Source organism: Homo sapiens, chromosome 5 (genome assembly GCF_000001405.40).
Source record: "Homo sapiens chromosome 5, GRCh38.p14 Primary Assembly".
NCBI classification, from domain to species: domain Eukaryota; kingdom Metazoa; phylum Chordata; class Mammalia; order Primates; family Hominidae; genus Homo; species Homo sapiens.
Window position 1 is genome coordinate 126,465,762 of NC_000005.10, and position 20,972 is coordinate 126,486,733.

The 20,972-nt window shown below is 40.4% G+C and overlaps 1 protein-coding gene across 26 annotated transcripts in view; it reads left to right on the top strand.

The window, feature by feature from the left end:
* The window catches only part of GRAMD2B (GRAM domain containing 2B), a 134,245-nt gene that overhangs the window by 105,642 nt on the left and 7,631 nt on the right, over positions 1-20,972 (top strand). For 8 of the 26 annotated variants that reach the window (NR_146196.2, NM_001146319.3, XM_047417608.1 and 5 more), the window contains exons 3-11: positions 3,916-4,027; positions 6,477-6,543; positions 7,504-7,607; positions 11,931-12,026; positions 14,695-14,766; positions 14,866-14,946; positions 17,702-17,813; positions 18,641-18,763; positions 19,925-20,012. Coding sequence is in view for 23 of the 26 variants with exons in the window: in NM_001146319.3 (NP_001139791.1) it covers positions 3,916-4,027; positions 6,477-6,543; positions 7,504-7,607; positions 11,931-12,026; positions 14,695-14,766; positions 14,866-14,946; positions 17,702-17,813; positions 18,641-18,763; positions 19,925-20,012 (855 nt within the window). In the remaining 3 variants the exon portion in view is untranslated. Of the gene's footprint in view, positions 1-532; positions 576-3,915; positions 4,028-6,476; positions 6,544-7,503; positions 7,608-11,930; positions 12,027-14,694; positions 14,767-14,865; positions 14,947-17,701; positions 17,814-18,637; positions 18,764-19,924; positions 20,013-20,972 lie in introns of all 26 variants that reach the window. The other 18 variants (XM_011543593.3, XM_005272057.5, NM_001349542.2 and 15 more) reach the window with 5 other exon arrangements.

A 20,972-nucleotide genomic window follows, 5' to 3' on the forward strand; every position in this document is an offset into this window, starting at 1 on the left:
CGCTGATTTTGCTAAGTGATGAGGCCAGGGTGGACCCCTCTCTGGCATATGTTTAGAAAGCTGGGAAGGCTGGCCAGGTTGGAGTGTCTGCCCGGCCTTGGGTGTGCACACCTGGTGTCTCACTTTCCTAGGGGCCGTGAAAAAAAGCCGAGGAAAAGAATCCCCATCCCGGGGACCCACCAGGCCACCAGTTTCCTGTGACAGACTAAGAGGGAGGGTTGGTTTGGTTGTGGGGCCGGAGGGGAGAGGTGGTTTTGAGATGTGTAGCTGTAGCCTCATCTTTCTCAGAGGCACCAACTACCATTTGGTAGAGACTAAAGTTGGTAGAGACTAAAGTTGCTTTGGGGCACTTAAAAGATAGCGGTTAAACCAACAGTGTGTGATGGGTGAGTGCAGTTTATCTAAACTGAGTACAGAAATCATTGTGGTCCTTCACCATTATTAGAACTTTGAGAACTGCTACCTTCTACTTCTTTTGGTCTTTGCTAAAAGATTATTAACTCCGCTTTTTGCTTCCTTCCTGGCTTCCCAGCCCATATCTTCTCTCCAAATCTATGCTTCATTCAGGACCAAGAGTAAGTCTTAACTCCTCCCGAAATTTTCCTCTTCTGACTCTAATTCCCAATTATCTCTCCATCTTTCCTGCATGCTGTTTTGTGGCATCTCACCTTTTTTTTTTTTCCAGTCGGAGTCTCGCTCTGTCATCCAGGCTGGAGTGCAGTGGCACATTCTCAGCTCACAGCAACCTCCGCCTCCCAGGTTCAAGCGATTCTCCTCCCTCAGCCACCCTGGTAGCTGGGCCTACAGGCATGCACCACCATGCCCACCTAATTTTTGTACTTTTAGCAGAGACAGGGTTTCACCATGTTGACCAGGTTGGTCTTGAACTCCTGACCTCAGGTGATCCACCGGCCTTGGCCTCCCAAAGGGCCAGCATCTCACTTTAACAATTTTTTTTCCTCTAGTTGTTTCCCCTCAAAGCCTCACCTAATGCTTCTCTTCACAAAGGCACAAGGCACATTATTTCTCATGTCTTTTACCACTGTTGGCTGACTACAGCAGGCACCTTAAAAACACTGTTGGTTTTACTCCAACTTCCCCAGGCTTCCGTAATAATAATACACTCTCACAGGGCATGCTTGCTAAACTTCATGGGCATGCGGTTCCTGCAGTTGGAAAGGGCCCACACTTGGTTTAATGTTCCCCTCTTGCTATCCAGAAATGCTTAATAATTTTTATGTAAGGGGGCCAGGCACGGTGGCTCACACCTGTAATCCTAGCACTTTGAGAGACTGAGGTGGGTGGATAACTTGAGGTCAGGAGTTCGAGACCAGCCTGGCTAACATGGTGAAACCCCATCTCTACTAAAAATAAAAAATTAGCCGGGTGTGGTAGTGCATGCACTCAGGAGGCTGAGGCAGAAGAATCGCTTGAACCCAGAAAGTGGAGGTTGCAGTAAGCCGAGATTGTGCCACTCCAGCCTCAGCAACAGAGTGAGACTTTGTCTCTATATAAAAATTATTAATTAATAATTTTTACTTGTTTTTATTAATTAATTAATAATTTTTATATAAAGGACCCCACATTTTCATTTTGCACTGGGCTTCTTGTCACCTGTAGGAAGTGAGAATAACAGGGTTGAAAAGACCCAAAGAAATCCATATTGTATACATACATACCCTGTCCACAGGGGCCAGTGTCATGCAGATGAACCCCCTTATTGCTTGTGCCTTTTGAAATTATCAAGGGTAGAGCCACCCTACTCGTCATATTTGCTTGCAGTCCATGGATCTTCAAAAGGTCGGATCATTTCCTTGCCCATTCCATTAACATTTATTAATGGGAATCAGTAGAGGTGATGAATTCAAATCTGTGAATAATATAAATAAAAGGCAAGTTGACATTTGTACAGATAATTTTATTTTCAAATAGAGAACAAATGTTTTTTCATAGCTTCCAAAAAAATGTAATCCCTAGAATTCCCAGGGAATTTATGTCTGTGAATAGCTTCAATGGCCTGTATCTGAAATTAAACTCATTTACCTTGAACTGCTGAGGGGTATTTGCCCTGTGATTTCAGCATTGTGGAATCATACACTGTAGTGGCTAGAAGAGGCCTAGGACATCATATAGTCCATCTTTTCACAGCTGAGAAAACCAGAGCATAATTCTCTAACTTCAGTCCTTTCTGTTTCTCTGTGACACCCATGTACCACCTGAATTACTTCAGATTGTTCTTAAATCCACTTTGAACCAATTTTTTTTAACTGAACCTCATTTTAAGGAATAATATTGTGAAATCATGGATTTTGTGTGTCGTTTCCTCCCAATAAACATTAAAGCAACTTCATAATCATAAAACTTATTCATATATATAACTCCAAAAATCATCTATGCATTCTACTTTGAAATGACTGCGTTTAGCCGTAGGGTTGAAGTTACGTACAAATGTACACATCCACTAAAATGGAAAACCAGGACTAGAATCATCTTAGAAGGAAACTCTGGAGCTCTGACCTCTGTGCTTAACAGGAAAAAGGAAGACTTGGCTTCAAACATGTTTTGTGGTTTCATTTTTTTTATTCTGATTTCACTTTTATTGTATTCCCACTCTGGGATGTTTTGTCTCTTTTCCTCATACCCAATTCTTGCTTATCCTGTTAGGCCCAGCATTTTAAGCCCACATTATTCTACTGTTTTCCTCTTCTATTTATTTACTTTTTTTAATTTAACTTTATTTTTTTGAGACAGAATATTGCTCTGTCCCCCAGGCTGGAGTGCAATGGTGCAATATCAGCTCACTGCAACCTCTGCCTCCCGGGTTCAAGCGATTCTTCTGCCTCAGCCTCCCGAGTAGCTGGGACTACAGGCGCCCACCATCATGCCCAGCTAATTTTTGTATTTTTAATAGAGATGGGATTTCGCTATGTTGGCCAGGCCGGTCTCAAACTCCTGACCTCAGGTGGTCCGCCCACCTTGACCTCCCAAAGTGCTGTGATTACAGGCATGAGCCACTGTGCCCGGCCTGTTTTCCTCTTCTCTTACCTCCTGTTAGACTTATTGGCTCCATACCTTCTCCTAACTCCTATAATATGTATTTTTTTTGGTGCTAAATCATGTACTGCCTTTTTAAAAAAGTGTTTGATGCATGCATACACAGGCGCCTTAAGGATACAAACTGTGTTATGGGCCCCAAGACATTTAATACAATGCCCTACTCAATTAATACTTGTTATATATTAGTGGAATTCTGAAACAAAAATATTCTTTGATTGAACTATAGCTGCAATATTATTTAGTAATTTGCCTCAAGTACTCCTTTTTAAATACTGATTAAAATAGTTTCGTTTTAAAATGATGTAATTATTTTCACAACTTGATTGTTATTTCACCCTCTGTAAGTTACTATTTCTACAGTTTTTGATTACAGCCTGATGAAATCATTGCAGTGTCCTAAAGCATGTGCTGTGTAAATATTCTCAGAGTATCATGAATGATTTTTGATATCCAGAAAAGAAAAACAAATGTCAGGTTTTCTTAGAAGATAGTATAATAATCAAGATTTATTACAATAAATTAATGAAAAATGTATCTCATAGGCCAGGTGTGGTGACTCATGCCTGTAATCCCAGCACTTTGGAAAGCCGAGGCAGGTAGATTGCTTAAGTCCGGGAGTTCAAGACCAGTCTGGGCAACGTGGTGAAACCCCATCTCTACAAAAAAATGAGCTGGGCATGGTGGCACACACCTGTAGTCCCAGCTACTCAGGAGGCTGAGGTGGGAGGATCGCTTGAGTCCTGGACGGGGAGGTTGCAGTGAACCGTGATCATGCTGCTGCACTTCAGCCTGGGCAACAGAGCAAAACTGTCTCAAAAAAAAATTATCTTATAGACACCCTGGACTTTCTTTCTTTAGGTCAAAATCCAGTTTTGATGGTGCCTCTTTAGCAAGTGATAAGAACGACTGTAAAACAGAAAGCAAAAATGACCCTAAGACTGAAAGAAAAAAGTCTTCATCTTCCAGCCAGGTAATTTGAGAATGGAATTTGTATTGTCTTAGAGGGTGACAGGGCTACTGAAGCCAGTGACAAGAAGGAACCCAAGTATGCACCTTCCTGCTGGTCAAGACTAATATAGGTATAGAGTTTAGAGAATTTAGAAGAACAAACAGGCAGCAGTTCCTCCAGTCCATTTTTCAGCAACGTTATATTCCACAACTCATTTTTCAGCACATTGCATGGTAGTGAGTTCCATGCTGTGGCCTCGAACTCTGACAGATACCCAGAGATCAGGGACCAACACAAAGTCATGTGCTTATCCAATAATTGGCAGGACAAGGGGAGTTGTGACATCCTTGTACTGAAATTGAAGAGTCTGATAAGGCACCTGCCTGAATAGTAGTAGGCCAGCCAACTGCACACAGAGGAGTTAGACCTTTGAACAGGGTCAGGATTCTTCTCCAGAACTAATTTTGGTTCTGCTTTAAAATATACCCAGATAGGAAACAAAGCCTAGTTCTATGTCATCAGAGAGTGTGATGCATGTGCTGGGGACAGGAGTTTGGGGTTTTTCTTAATTCTTCACCCCTCTAAATACTTGAATATGTGTTTCCTAAGAGCTAAACCAAAAACCATCGGCACACCCAAGAAATTTAAATATGAAATGTATTAAAATATTATTAATACAAAATTCACTTTTGAATTTCCATAGTAGTCCCAGTAATAAATATCCTTTATAAAGGTGTTTTTTTCCTCTTCAGGATCCAATCAAGAGTCACATACTGCATGTAATTGCTATGTCTTTTCTCTTTTTTTTCAAGGCAGAGTCTTGCTCTGTTGCCCAGGCTGGAGTGCAGTGCCACAATCTTGGCTCACTGCAACCTCCACCTCCCGGGTTTAAGTGAGTCTCATGACTCAACCATCTGAGTAGCTGGGATTACAGATGTGCACCACCACACCCAGCTAATTTTTGTATTTTTAATACAGACAGGGTGTTGCCGTGTTAGCCAGGCTCATCTCAAACTCCTGGCCTCAGGCGATCCACCCACCTCTGCATCCCAAAAATGCTGTGATTACGAGCATGAGCCACCGCACTCAGCCTGCTATGTCCCTTTTAATTGAAAGCAGCCCCACTACCTTTTTTGCCATTTATTACGTTGACATTTTTGAAGCGTTTATGGCCTAGCATATTTTAAATCAAGCGTGCAACCACTGCTCACTGTAGCCATTGAAAACAAAAGCTCAGTGAAGCCATAGAACACCTAGCTTTAATCAAGGTATCTTTCTATAAGGAGTTTATCTGTAAAATAGTTGACTTGCAGGGACCATCTATCATCTTGATGACCTGGTCTGTAGTTCTTTATGGCAAAACAGGGCCAGTTTTGCCATTGAGACCACTCTTGGTTTGGATAATAAAGCCATCCAGGGCCTCCTACCCATTCTCCTTATAAGAATTTTTCTTCAGAAGCATCCCGTGAGGCAGATTGATCCTGTGGAGGGAGGATCGAGTTCTACCCCATAGTTCGCTTCAGGCTTGAACTCCTGGGCTCAAGAGATCCTCCTGCCTCAGCCTCCCGAGTAGCTAGGACTACAGGCACATGCCACCACATCCAGCTAACAGTTCTACTCTTAATAGCTATATGATGCAGGTGAAAGTGTTTTACAAGCTGTAAATTGCTGGCTATCCATTGTTATTGTCACAGTTGTGAAAACAGATCCCTTGAGGATGAAGTGATTTACAGCTTTCATGGTCTTGGGCCTTCTGCTGCCCTGGAGAGTGAAGTCTTTGTATGAAATCCTACTTGTCTTGTCAGTAGCCTACTACTGCATCCTACTCCTGTCACTGGCTAAGGAAATGCCTTCACAATAATACAGTAGGAAGAGTGGCCATATGTTGCCTTAGACTATAGGTCCTTTACATGTATTATCCCATTTAAGCCTCATGGCATCCCTTGAGGCTGGCACTGTTTTTGCCCTCTGGTACAGAAGAGGAAACCAAGGCCCAGGGAGATTAAGTGACTAAGCCATGGTCACACAACAAGAGCTAGAGCCACTACAGCCAAGACTTCAACTCAGGTTTACCTGACTACAAAGCTTTGAACCACTGTACTCTTCTGAGAGTACTCACTGGTACCTTTAGTACCTGGGATCCAGTATCTTCCCTAATGAGATTCCTTAGAATTTCATCCCATTTCTCATCAGGGACATCCTTGTCCAGCCCTGTTACCTCGGCAGTAGGCTGACCAGCAGCTGCATCATTATATCCAACCAGCAAAGCATTAAACTTGTTAGAAAATGAAACTGTGTGCCCAGACTTTCACTGTGTTTTACTGAAGGCTTGTGTCAGAGACTGTAAGATCAGTGAGAAGGAATTCCTAAAGATACTATTAAGGGAGGGAAAATTTGTTGTTGAAGTTGAATTTGTGATGTTTCACAAGAAAGTGAGAATGGTGATGCTTGTATTTTGTTCTCATTGTAGTACAAGGCCAATATGCACTTTCACAAGTTGTTTCTTAGTGTCCCAACGGAGGAACCACTGAAGCAAAGTAAGTTCTGACCTGTTTGACTTTTTAAGCTACATATTTGAAAAGTTGATCATTAGTTTTGGGGAAGAAAAAGGGCATAGTCCATGGACTGAGTCACCAAGGGGATCAGGTTTCTGAAAGTAATAACATAACAATAACACCAGCTTCAGTCAGCTTTCACCAGGCAGCGTGAAAAGATCACAGAGGAGAAAAAGAAACAGTTCTCCATGGGGTATGGAGTCACCCAAGATGGTTCCGTGATGCCCTTCCCTTCTTTATTTATTGCTGAAATGCACATGGTTACATTGCTTTAAGATTTAGGATAACAAGCCTGGGGCAAGAGAGGCCACTAGAAGAAGGCTAAAAGAAAACTCACATCCTTAGACATGGACAGACATGTGCTGATGCCACTATGAAGGGTAAGATAGTCACCTAAATATCTTGCCCAGCATGCTAGTTAAGCACGCCTACTAGACTCTGCAGTGGTTCATCAAGGGGCCCAAAGTTCCATTCTAGCCTCTCTTGATGTGCAAAAGTTGAGGCAAGATGCTGGGTTCCTGCCATGACCTTCAAACAGGAGGTGTGGGTTATGTGCTCTTCCCCTAGTGAGGCCATGTATTTTGAAAACAGTCATTCCTGAAAATACTGGGGAAAAGGGGAACAGGTGTACTAATATCAGCACATGGTGACACACCAGGCTAAATAGAGGAGACTTGTAAGACCCCATTCTTGGTCTCTCAGGTACAATGGTAGATTTGCCTTTTCATTCTGATATTTATACTGAAGTTGGTAAGACTTTGAACTTAAAAGCAAACTGGTTGCCACAGCTTTCTTTCCATAAAGATGACAGAAGAAGAGGTAATAAAACTTTTGAGTGTGAATGTATTATCTCTGCCCATCCTTGAGTCACCAAAATATATACACGGTTTTTATTTTAAGTGGAAATTCTAAATGATGCTGTGCCTGTGTATATTTTCCCAGGCTTTACCTGTGCTCTACAGAAAGAAATACTATACCAAGGAAAGCTCTTTGTATCAGAAAACTGGATTTGTTTTCATTCCAAAGTCTTTGGAAAAGACACAAAGGTTGGTATAATTAAAAAAAAAAATGCTAACCCTATACTTTATTATATATGGTAAATATTAATCATCTTAAATTTAGCTATATTTGTAGATATTTGTATCATGGTTATTCTTTTATGTCAAGTTTCTTTTGTTGTAATTCCAAATACTATGCATTCTAAATGCCTCCAGAAGACACTAACTTCCCTTTTTCCCTAAACATTATTTTCTCACTCATTTGTTTATACACATATACCTCATATATACACATGTACCTCACCCATAACCATACCCTAAATCCTTTTTACTCAGATGTCACCAGAGAGCACTCAAAGTTGTTTATATGGAGGGTGTGCCATGATTTTCAAAGACATACATTTAAACCAAAATCATTTCTTTTAAGAAACATCAATTTTTATACCATATTTATACCAGTTACCAGTGATGCGTAGGACAGCAGGCCTATAAATAAGCTACTTATTAGCACTCCCTTTGTACCCTCACCAGCACAAAATGAGCAGGAGGTGGAGCAGTTAAGGCCTAGCCTGGGTAAGTCAGACATCCTCAATCCCAAGTGTACTCTGATATTACATCTTTTCATTATTATTAAATATAGATTTGGGGGAGCAGAGACACATGACATCCTGAGGCATTAAGGAGAACAGCCTAAAGGAATTGGCACTGCCCTCTAAACTGGGGACCGTGGGACTATGGCCTATCAAAGAAAAGATAATTCTATCCCACTGACATTTTTTTACCTTTGAGCTATGATGTCACATCACAGTTCATTCAGGCCTCCAGAATAACACCAGAGAAACACCTTCTTGGGTTTGCATGACCTTAGTGAGTTTTCAGTCATTCTGATTCATGATTATGAAGAAGCAACTTTCATACTCATGAAGTCGCTGATTAAAACTTCTTTTTGAGTAGTAGATGTGCCTTATTTAAATATTCTCTCTAAAACCACTGGCAATTGCATAAAGACCACTTAACAAATCTAATAGGAATATTTTCTTTTGTTGGTGTTGGAGCTAGAGGCTAACATACTATTCTTTAGGTAAAACATATTCTTTTTTATTGATTTTTTATCATATAGAGCTATGTTTAGCTAAGCATTATTTGATCGACAGTATTATCTGAATCAGTATAATACAAAGCAATATGAAGCAGTATTTCATATATTTCTACATTTCTGGATTAAAGGTCTTGTTCATGGAATGGGGAAGGGGATTGGGTAGTACTGATCAATGTGATATAGTTCTCAGGAATTCATAGAGAGCCAACATCTCTGAGCAGAGCAGCAGGGACTGAAGATACTAATGAACAAAGTATTAGTCTTTGTTAAGGGATGGGGGATTCACAAAGGCAGTCAGTGCACTTTCAAGCTAATCTGACTCTAGCAATGGTTTTAAAGTTCTACTTCTACCTAAGAACTGATAAAAAGAAGTTAGAAGGAGTGACCCTGGTTTTTTGAAGACATGGATATACTGAGATTGCTTTTACAACGTGTAACCTACAGAAGCAGGAGACTGAAAATTAGCAGGCCATGGGAATAAGAACCATGATAGTGACTTGTATGTTCCATCCCTTCTAAGGATGGTGTCAAAGGAGATTTGGGCTTCAGAGATGTTGCAGAATTTCCTCACTGCCAATGGACCTCAGTCCAACATGGTCCAATATGAGCTGAAGGCACCCAAACAATTGCTCTACAACGGGAACTTTCCAATCAAGTTCCCCTTCTAAAGCAGTTTACCCTGGAAAAATGTTACCATTACCCTGGAAAAATATTAATAAAGTATAGCCTTAATTTAATCCGGACCTTTTTAGTCAGCCTGTCGGTATTTTCAGATGCCAGTAAAATTAACATGCATGTATCACATTCTGTCTAAGCTCAAACTGAAAAGTGATTTAAGCTTTATTTTACAAATGTTATCTGGTTGTAATTTTATACTCATGAAGCAATTGCTTGAAAACTCCTTCTTAAGGGTGTTCCATGCCTTAGATTATGAAAAATCTAAATTTCTAGCCCTTTGTCACTGCATGTTTGTATTGTTGCTCAGAAACAAAATTAGACTCATTTTTTAAAAATCATCATCTAAGTAGATCTCAAATTCTTTTTTTCCAAATTTATCCCAACTTGTAAGTTCTGAATTGCCTCCTCCCTTTGAAAAATGTTGTGAGTAGAGTTCTTTGGCAAACAGTTTTTAGAAAATGTCTTGATTGGTTTAGCCCCTTGTTCTTCCATAGTCTTCCAGCCTAGATCATTGAGGGCAATAAATAAGCCCATCTCATAAACCCAGATGTGAATGCAAATATTCAAAATTAAAAGCTCATTTTGTGGCCAGGCACAGTGGCTCACGCCTGTAATCCAGCACTTTGGGAGGCCAAGGCGGGCGGATCACCTGAGGTCGGGCGTTCAAGACCAGCCTGACCAACATGGAGAAATCTCATCTCTACTAAAAATACAAAATTAGCTGGATGTGGCCGGGCGCAGTGGTTCACACCTGTAATCTCAGCACTTTGGGAGGCCGAGGCAGGCGGATTACCTGAGGTCAGGAGTTTGAGACCAGCCCGAACAACATAGAGAAACCCCTTCTCTACTTAAAATACAAAATCAGCCAGGCATGGTGGTACATGCCTGTAATCCCAGCTACTAGGGAGGCTGAGGCAGGAGAATCACTTGAACCCAGTGGGTGGAGGTTGCGGTGAGCCGAGATCGTGCCACTGCACTCCAGCCCAGGCAACAAGAACGAAACTCCATCTCAAAAAAAGAAAAAAATTAGCTGGGTGTGGTGGCGCATGCCTGTAATCCCAGCTACTCAGGAGGCTGAGGCAGGAGAATCACTTGAACCTGGGAGAAGGAGGTTGCCGTGAGCCAAGATTGCACCATTGCACTCCAGCCTGGGCAACAAGAGCAAAACTCTGTCTCAAAAAAAAAAGCTCATTTGCTTCCTTCAAGCTGGCAGTACTTACATAAAGCCCATCTCTTTGAGAATATGTGAGGCATTTTCAAGAAGTAGATGTTCAAGTGAGTGTGAGTTCCTAGGGAAGGGGGAAGTCAGATCATTTTACCATGGCTGTGCGTGACTCTATTTTCAGGGATTGAAGTGATGTGATCCATTTTCCTTTGAGATCAAACTTGGTTGGAGAGGTATAACATAAATTATCATGAACTTCTCTGTTCTTTGTGCCATTTGATACATTCTTATAGCACATTGTATTGAAAAGAACCCACATTTGGAATCAGATTGGCTTGAATTCCATCTTTGTAACTTCTTATGTAGGACATGCACCTCTCTAAATAAATTTCTTTATTTCTCATAATATTGACTATGTATGATCATAATTAAATTAAATTCTATCTGGTAAATAGGTATCAATAATGGTAGCTTCTATAGTTACTGTTGTTGTTATTCTTTGTTGAACCAGAAAAGTATTTAGAATTCTTTTATGTCACCCATCCTGATTTCATGAAACAAGTGAGGAGGCGAATGAAATTTTTATTCAACACTGGGCATTTTGCATATATTATCTCACTTAATCCACAGAAAATCCTGAGAAGCAGACGAGGCTATCTCCAATTTATAAATCAAAAAACTGAGGCCTAGAACGGATAGCTTACAAGGGGGAGTAGGTCATGTAGATACAGGTTGAGAATCCCCTATCCAAAATGCTTGGGACCAGAAGTGTTTTGGATTTCAGATTTTTGCAATATCTGCCAACATATAACTGGCTGAGCATTCCTAATCCAAAAATCCAAAATCTGAAATGCTCCAATGAGCATTTCCTTTGACCATCAATATCAGCATTCAAAAACTTTTAGATTTTGGAATAGTTTGGATTTATGATTTTCAGATTAAGGATGCTCAACCTGTAGTAACAGAACTGAGCCAAGAATTCAGGTCCCAGATTTTCTATCCAGTGATGGTCCTATTATACCAGTGCTTTTTAACATGCACCTAGAGACAGAGGAGAGTAGGGCATGTGGAAGTTAGCCCAAAGTGGATGACCACAAGCTTGAAATTTCTTTAGAGCCTTGTGCTTATCTTTAAAATGAATACATATTTTGCATTCTATTTCCATGTCTGAAGATAAACGTTTCCCACCAAGATCTTCAGTCCAATTGATGATTAAGATTTATCCTCTGGCTTAGTAAGCCCCACTTTGAGGAGCTCAGTGATACATCCCTGCCACTCTGTAAGACTGGCTTTTTTTCATGGAGGCTGGAGAGCTTGCTGCTGGTTTTGATTTCTGTTTACCTTTTTTTTCTTTTTTCCTTAAATGTGAAGATTTGAAGTGCTGTTCTGTCAAGTCTGAACTGGCATTAACTTGCTGATTCTGTTTCAGATCTCTATTCCAGCTTTCTCGGTAACCCTAATAAAGAAAACCAAAACTGCTCTTCTAGTGCCAAACGCCCTGATCATAGCAACAGTCACAGACAGGGTGAGTATGCAGCCGAGCGAGGGCATCTTTGCTTTGTCCTCCTGCTCTGGGCTCTGCTGCCTAAGGGGTCTCTTGCCAAGGACCAAGACTCCAAACCATAAATATCATCTCCTGTGGTGAATCAGGAAAATTCCATAAGACTAATTTTAAAAATTATAGCCTGTAGACATTCATGTAGTGCTGTTTCCCTTCACAAAGTGATTTATTCTCATAGAAGTGTTGCCAATTTTGAATTTCCTGCTGACTTAATTATACTTGCCTGACCAAGGTCAAAAAAATAAAATTCTTTCTCAACTTCTGCTAGGTCAGGCTAAACTGATACATTCAGTTCCTTTAATAATAGTCTTAAAGGGAAAAAAAAAAAAAAAAAAAGGAGGTCAGGCCTTTAATTCCAGCACTTTGGGAGGCTGAGGGCTGAGGTGGGAGAATTGCTTGAGCCCAGGAGTTGGGAACCAGCCTGGGCAACATGGTGAAACCCCGTCTCTACAAAAAATATAAAAATTAGCCAGGTGTGGTGGTATGTGCCTGTGATCCCAGCTACTTGGGAAGCTGAGGTAGGAGAATCACTTGAGCCCAGGAGGTAAAGGCTGCAGTGAGCCATGATTGTGCCACTGCACTCCAGCCTGGGCAACAGAGAAAGACCCTGTCTCAAAGAAAAAGAAAAAGGACAAGGCCAGGCATGGGGGCTCACACCTGTAATCCCAGCACTTTGGGAGGCCCAAATGGGCAGATCGCTTGAGTCCAGGAGTTCAAGACTAACCTGCGCAACATGGTGAAACCCTCTGTCTTCAAAAAATACAAAAATTAGCCGGGTTTGGTGGCACACACCTGTGGTCTCAGCTACTGGGGAGGCTGAGGTGGGAGGATTGCTTGAGCCTGGGAGACAGAGGTTGCAGTGAGCTGAGATCGAGCACCACTGCACTCCAGCCTGGGTGACAAAGCGAGACCCTGTCTCAAAAAAGTAATAAATATATATAAAGAACAAGAACAACAAAACCACCACCTTACTGACAGGGTGAGGCAGGCAGGTTGATAGTGAGGAGTTCCTGGTGTGGGGGTGGCCAGCCTCCCCATAACCTCAATCAATACCTCCCTAGAGCCATTCCAGATAAATAAAACTTGCACCTGCTCTGCAACTGCAGGTACAGGATCAGTTTTTAGACCTGCTTTACTAACAGCTTGCCTAAACTACCTTCTATATAGAAATTCCAGAGCTGAATTGACTATTGGGCTACCACAGACATGCACAATCAGAAAAATTTACATTAAAGTGGTGTCTATTTCAGCTTGGCAAGAAAGAGGGAGTGGAGTGGTCTGGTTACTTTTCACATGAATTTTTTTAATCTTTCATGAATTATTTCTATGAAAGCATAAACTCTACATTCTATAGATTTCATTTCTCCTTTTTCCTTTTTTATTTTTTCTTTTTTCAATAGAGATGGGGTCTTGCTATGTTGCCAAGAGCTGGTCTCAAATTCCTGGGCTCAAGTGATCCTCTTACCTCAGCCTCCCAAAGTGCTGGGATGACAGGCATGAACCACCATGACTGGCTATAGATTTCCTTTCTAACCATACTAGAAAACTTGTAGAGAGGAGAAGAAAGAAGGAAAGATAAAAGAGACCATTCTGATAAGCTAGAAAATATGTTAATATCTATTTGGGGATTTTTTAGAAATACTAATAGCCAACAGGCATCAGTATTTCCTCCTTGTCAGGCCATGCACTAATGCTTTTTTTATATTTTCTTGCTACCACCCTGTAATGGATAACTGTTATTAAGAAAACTGAAAGTTAGAGGGGTTAAGCAATTTTCCCAATGTCACCCACTTAGTAAGTGTAAGAGCCAGAATTTGCAACTGGATCTGCCTGATGCCAGAACCCACAATATTAATTACTTTGGAATATAGTACTTGCTCGGAAATAATTCAAGTTCCCTCATTGGTGAATGAGAAGGATAATCACAAACTCATGGAAAGGAGGTCTGAAAACATTCTATGGCATAAATAGATGGAAAAAAAGTAAATTTTTATATTTTCTGAACATATTGTTTATGGTAAAATCATTTTTCCTCATGTCATTTGTCTTCACATGATTTGTCTAGCTTTGATTTTACTCCTTTCCCATGGCTCACTTATAAGTCTCCACTAGAAAATCTCCATATTTGTACAAGGAAGAATCTGGAAGTGGCAAGAAAGAGAGCTAGCCTATTAGAGCCACTGGGAAGTTTTCAGTGGAAATCTAGGTCAGAGCAGAGAAGGCGGACCCTCGGGAATTGTTAAATACCCTTAAAAACAAAAACAGAGGGAGAGAGATTTTAAAGGGGATCTAGTGAATGTCACCAGCCTTTTCTTAATGTCCAGGCCTTTTCTTCTCTGGGCTTGTTTGAGGCACCAGTGACAGGCTTTTGGAGCCTTCATTTTGCCCTACATGTATTTATTACTCTTAAATTGGGTTTGAAGATTTTGTTGCTTTTATGGGAGAATGTTTGCTTTATTACAGGAATGGAATAAAAATGGAATGTTTGAGTGAGAGGAATGAGAATATAGATCAAAGAGAGGTCCATGTTGTTTGAAAATGCAAAAGCTGTATACAGATACTTTTCTGAACTCTCAACTCTCACTTCTCATCCGGCAATATCTATTCATAATTATCCTGTTTTGTTTTTCAGTACATATTTGTCTCCTTACTCTCCAGAGATTCAACTTACAAACTACTAAAATCTGTGTGTGGACACTTAGAAGTGAGTATGATGTCCCTGAGCCTCAATTACTGTCTCTCTTCTGTATTTCTTATGGTTTCATAGTTAATCTGGCTTTTCGTTTTGTTCCAATAATTTCAGAATACAAGTGTTGGTAACAGTCCCAATCCATCTTCTGCTGAAAACAGTTTCCGAGCAGACCGCCCTTCATCTCTGCCTCTGGTAAGTTGCCCACATAACTATCTAAATGCAAAAGAAAGGGAATATGTCCCACAATTACACTTGTGCTTACACCATGACCAGGGTGTGGGAAGAGCTTAGGACCAAAATATTTGAGGTACAGTTGAAGAAACAGGGCATATCTTCCTTGAAGAAGAGGAAACCATAGTAGCCATAAACTTTTTCCAAGTAATTGAAGAGTTGTCCTGCAAAAAGAAAGAAACACCTAGTAGACTATCTTGGTGAGTTACTGGTCAGTGAATGCATTCATAAAATCTTGCTCTGTTTGCTTGTCAATATTGGCTTAGAGGGATTCACAAATCTATTTGAGGTAGGACTGAATCATCCCACAAATCCTTAAATGTCTTCTGTGTTCAAGGCACCATGCTAGTGCACACTGTAGGATACCAGGAAAAATTAAAACTAATTTATGCCTTCAGAGACTTCACAACTTAGAAGAGAAATGAATATGCTCAGAATTAACTGTAAAAAAAAAAAAAAAGAAAGAAAGAAAGAAAGAAAGAAAGAAAGAAAGAAAGAAAGAAAAGAAAAAAAAAGAAAGCTATAATGCCCAAGTGACAGGTAAAGATTGATTCATTCCCTTAGACTTTGTAAACCGTAGAGTAAATCTCCAGTGGGAAGTAGCTCCCTCTGTGTAAGATTTGTACCCATAATGGTTATAATGTTTTCCCAAGAGAGTTCCAACCATACCATTCAAATGATTATAAATATTCTACATTAGTGAAGCAATATGAGCCCATGGTTTCAACAACTCCCACAAATCTTTTTTTTGAGAACAGTTTAAAAGTAATGGGATTGAAAGCGTTTTCACACAAACACTTGTACAAGAATGTTAATAGCATTATTCATCATAGCCAAAAGGTGGGGAAAACCCTAATGTCCATCAACTGATTAATGGATTTTTTAAATGTGGTATACCTATACAATGGGATATTATTCAACCATAAAAAGGAAATTAAGGGCCAGGCGCAGTGGCTCACGCCTGTAATCCCAGCACTTTGGGAGGCCGAGGCGGGTGGATCACAAGGTCAGGAGTTCGAGACCAGCCTGGCCAACATATTGAAACCCTGTCTCTGCTAAAAAATACAAAAAATTAGCCAGGCCTGGTGACGCATGCCTGTAATCCCAGCTACTCAGGAGGCCGAGGCAGGAGAATTGCTTGAACCTGGGAGGTGGAGGTTGCAGTGAGCCGAGATCACGCCGCTGTACTCCAGCCTGGGAGACAGTGCAATGAGACTCCATCTCAAAAAAAAAAAAAAAAGGGGAGATGAAGTACTGATACCTGCTACAATATAGCAATATAGATGGACCTTGAAAGCAGTATGCTAAGTGAAAGAACCCAGACTCAAAAGGCTACATACTGTATGATTCCCTTTATATGAAATATCTTGAACAGGAAAATCCATAGGCACAGAAAGTCAACTAGTGGTTGCCAGAGAATGGGGTGAGGGAGAAATTGAGAGTGACTGCTAATGGGTATGGGCTTTCTTTGGGGGTTGATGGAAATATTCCAGAACAAGATTGTAGCCATGGCTGTACAACATTGTGAATATTCTAAACACCACTGAATTGTATACTTTTAAATGGTGGATTTTATGTTACCTGAATTTTATCTCAATTTCTTAAAAATCTACCTTGAAAAACAGTGGTGGGAAGCAGTACAGAATATAATGTAACACACTTGATTTGGAATCCAAGAAACCTGGTTTTAAATCTGGGCTCCACCCAGCTATGTTATAGCATCAGGCAAGCTTTAACTGCTTTGACTCAGTTTCTTCATCCATTAAAATGCCAGCTTCATGATGTGGCTGTGAAGATTAAATGCAATCATGTATGTAAGGAGCTTTGCATACTGCCTGATATGAGATAGGCATTCAAGAAATCATTACATTGAAGAAATTTTCAATTTTCCTTCTCCTATAAATCCTTGTATGAAATCGAAATGAGTGTTGAGATGAACAAAAGACAGCTAGTTCAAGGTGAAAGGTTGGTAATTTGCTTACAAGATGAGTCTCTTCTTCATTTGGCAGCTGACTAAATTGTTAAAAGCTCAGCCTAATTGTACCTTTGCCAGGACATTTTAATGACACCATTTGTCTCTTCAGTTCTTAAGCACTTTGGGGAACCAGTAGAATACAAAGTAGAATGTCTGTGCTTTTTACCTTACTCCTACATCATCTTTCTAAAATTTAAATGTACTATCACTAACCCTGTTTTGATTTAGTTGAGGGGAGAAAAAAAGCTTAAACTTTACTTTCAGGGTCTAATTGGCTAAAGCCACTTTTCCTTTTCTGTTTCCAATACTTTTTTAAAAAAATTATAAGTTAGTAATATCTTTCTCTCTGTCTACATATTTGAACTTGGATTTAAAGCTTTCTATTTTTTTCTCTTATATATGTCTGTAGTAATCAGGTTTTCTCATTACGAAGTGCTAATGAAACCTTCAGCTTCACACTGGAAGCTTCTCAATTATTGGCATTCTGGGTGTTTTCCTAGACATTTGTTGTTTCGAACGAGTTGGCCAGTGTTTGTTGACAGAATTTTAACTGCCTGAAAAATCTGTTTCAGTAACCAGATACTCAGTCATCTGTTGGGAAAATCCCAGTCGTATGGAGTAATCCTTCCTTCTATTCTATGTTTTATAGGTCAGGCCTAGGTGAAAGGGCTGGGAGTTACAAAGGCCTGCCTGTTTACTAAGGGAATATCAGCCTGTCTTCATTTCACTGTTTCCTTTCAGGATTTCAATGATGAATTCTCAGATCTGGATGGAGTGGTTCAACAAAGAAGGCAAGACATGGAAGGATATAGCAGTTCTGGTTCTCAAACTCCTGAATCTGAGAACTCTCGAGGTTTGGGAAATTGTTGTATTTTGACTAAAATTTAATTCCCCTCAAAACATCCTCACCCCACCCCCTTAAAAAAAAAAAGAAAAGAAAAGAAAGAAAAAAACCCACATTGTCTTCCTAGTTAAAAATCAGGAATGGAATCTGGAGAAAGGATGCCTTGAGAGTTGGAGGGAAAAGAATTGCCTATGTGGTAAAAATTCATTTGCTTTTATGCACATTTAACAGAGGTCTTTTAAATAGACCTAACGTTGGGGTGGTTGAGAGAAAAAAACATACAATTTTGTTTTTGTTTTTGTTTTTGAGGCTGGAGTGCAATGGCACAATCTCGGCTCCTGCAACCTCCACCCCCCGGGTTCAAGCAATTCTCCTGTCTCAGCCTCCTGAGTAGCTGGGATTACAGGCATGCGCCATCAAGCCCGGCTAATTTTTGTTATTTTTAGTAGAGACGGGGTTTCACCATGTTGGTCAGGCTGGTCTCAAACTCCTGACCTCGTGATCCACCCACTTTGGCCTCCCAAAGTGCTGGGATTACAGGCGTGAGCCACCGCACCGGCCTATTTTCTTCCCTCTTATTTCAATAATATTTTTAATTGTTACAGCTGAATTATCCATGTGAGTTGGTTGGAAAATGAAAGACTATCCTTATATCACTTTATTACTTATTTGCTTAAGCATTCAATTTCAGCCCCAGCCACCACAACTAACTTGTGAGACCATCCATTCACATTCTTGACCATTATGCATGTTAAGGGATTGATTTACTTGGAGATTAATCCTGTTTTTAAATACATTGGAGAGAACACTTACCCAGCTCTGTTTTGGCTTAGTAGATTTCCATGCGACAGAATCCCAAACAGTTCTGAATGTCTCCAAGGGAGAAGCAAAGCCAACTCGGGCAGATGCCCATGTGAACAGAGTACCTGAAGGAAAAGCCAAGAGTCTCCCTGTACAGGGTAAGGAATGGATGTCTCAGGGGGGTGGGTTTAGAAGGATTGGAGATGTCTGTTTGTAACTTTTTTTTTTTTTTTAGACAGCATCTTGCTCTATCACCCAGGCTGCTGTAGTGCAATAACATGATCTTGGCTCACTGCAACCTCTGCCTCTTGGATTCAAGCGATTCTCGTACCTCAGCCTCCTGAGTAGCTGGGATTACAGACGCATGCCACAATGCCTAGCTAATTTTTGTATTTTTAGTAGAGACAGGGTTTCACCATTTTGGTCAGGCTAGTCTCGAACTCCTGACCTCTAGTGATCCACCCGCCTCAGCCTCCCAAAATGCTGAGATTATAGGCTTGAGCCACCATGCCCGGCCTATTTGTAACTGGGTTTCACCTTATGACTGCTTTTCATATTCCCTTTCCTCCCTTTGTATTATAGGTCTTTGCATATTAATTCACTTATTCTTTTAGCAAACAGTACCCAGTTCCGTGCTTACAGTGGGGGATACAAAAGTGAATAGCCTTCATGGAGGTCACTTCATGATTCTGAATACATGAGATTATCTTTCAAAAATTTCTGTTACTGTAACCCCAGCACTTTGGGAGTCTGCGGTGGGAGGATTGCTTGAGTCCAAGGAGTTCAAGACCAGCCTGGGCAACATAGTGAGACCCTATCTCTACAAAAAAGTTAAAAATCAGCTGGGTGTGGTACATGTTTGTAGTTCCAGCTACTTGGGAGGCTGAGGCAGGAGGATTGCTTGAGCCCAGGAGGTCAAGGCTGCAATGAGCTGTGATCACGCCACTGTCACCTGGGCAACAGAGTGAGACTATCTCAAAAAAATAAAAAATTTTCCAGTAAAACTCAAATTTCTTATTTACTAATTATTCTAATAACTAGCTATACTGGTAAGGGAGCAAGGATATTGTTATATTGTCCATCATTGATTCCAGTACAATGCTTGACACAAAGAAGGCTGTGGATAGGTATGTAATCAATGGAATGTGTTGGAAGGAATTGTAACCACTGGTTAAAATGACAACTGGGAGACTTGATATTTTCTCTGATTTCTTTTACCTGGGAACAATTACCTCTCTCAAGTACCCCATAGGGATATTGCTGGATAAAAGAAGTGTGTTATGGTTTTAAACAGTTGTTTTTTGTTTTCCTCCCAACAGGTCTGTCAGAAACTGTTGGAATCTTACATAAAGTCAAGTCTCAGAAATGTCCGATGCTTCACCATATTCTTATATTCTATGCAATTGTGTAAGTACATGAATTTACTGTGAGTGACTAAGAAAATGATTCCATTCGCTAAAGGAATAATCTCTTCACACTGCCAAGACCTACTGTAAATCTCAATTGTCTGAAATGTGACCTACATCTTTACTTTGACAATTTCTGTCTCCTACTTCAGGTTTTTTTCCTTAGGCTTAGGTCACATTTTCATGGTTGTGCCAAACCCTGCAGAGGACTAAGTTCTGAGTGGGTACCATTAGTTGGGAAATTGCTCTGTGAATTATGAAGCATCTTTACCCTTGTTATTTTTTTTACCTTATTTTTTTAATTGACATATAATCATTGTAGGTATTTATGGACTACATAGTGATGTTTTGATACATATAATGTATACTGATCAGATCCGGGTAATTAGCATATCCATCACCCTTATCATCTCTTTGTGTTGAGAACATTCAATATCCTTCTTTTAGCTATTTGAAACTCTATCATTGTTAACTTTAGTCATTCTACAGTGATATTCAACACCAGAACCTATTCCTTCTATCTAGCTATAATTTTGTTTTGCCATCTGTCCCATGTCCCCTGAACAGGGGCCAACACAACTTGAAAATGTTGTCCTCATCCCCTTTACCAAAAATGTAGGCATAGACTTTTTTAACTTCTAGCGTGTAACCAATTGTTCTTCTGAAAATAGCCTGACCCAGTTCTAGGCTGTTCCTCCCAACCAAGGAAAATATGCCCAGTCTGGTTTCCAGATAAAGGAGGGAGTCACCAGAGAACATGGCTAAGATCTGCCCAGGCTCTTCTGGCAGAGGACGGTAGTACCGCAGGGAGGAGGAACACTGGCTTGGTACTCCAACTTGGGTCTGGCTCTGACCAGTGCTATTAGAAGGGCCATTATTTGCAAATTAAGGGACTTGGGCTAGAGGATTTTAAGTCTCTTCTAGCTGTAAGTTTTATAACAAGCATCAGCCTGTTTAAAAA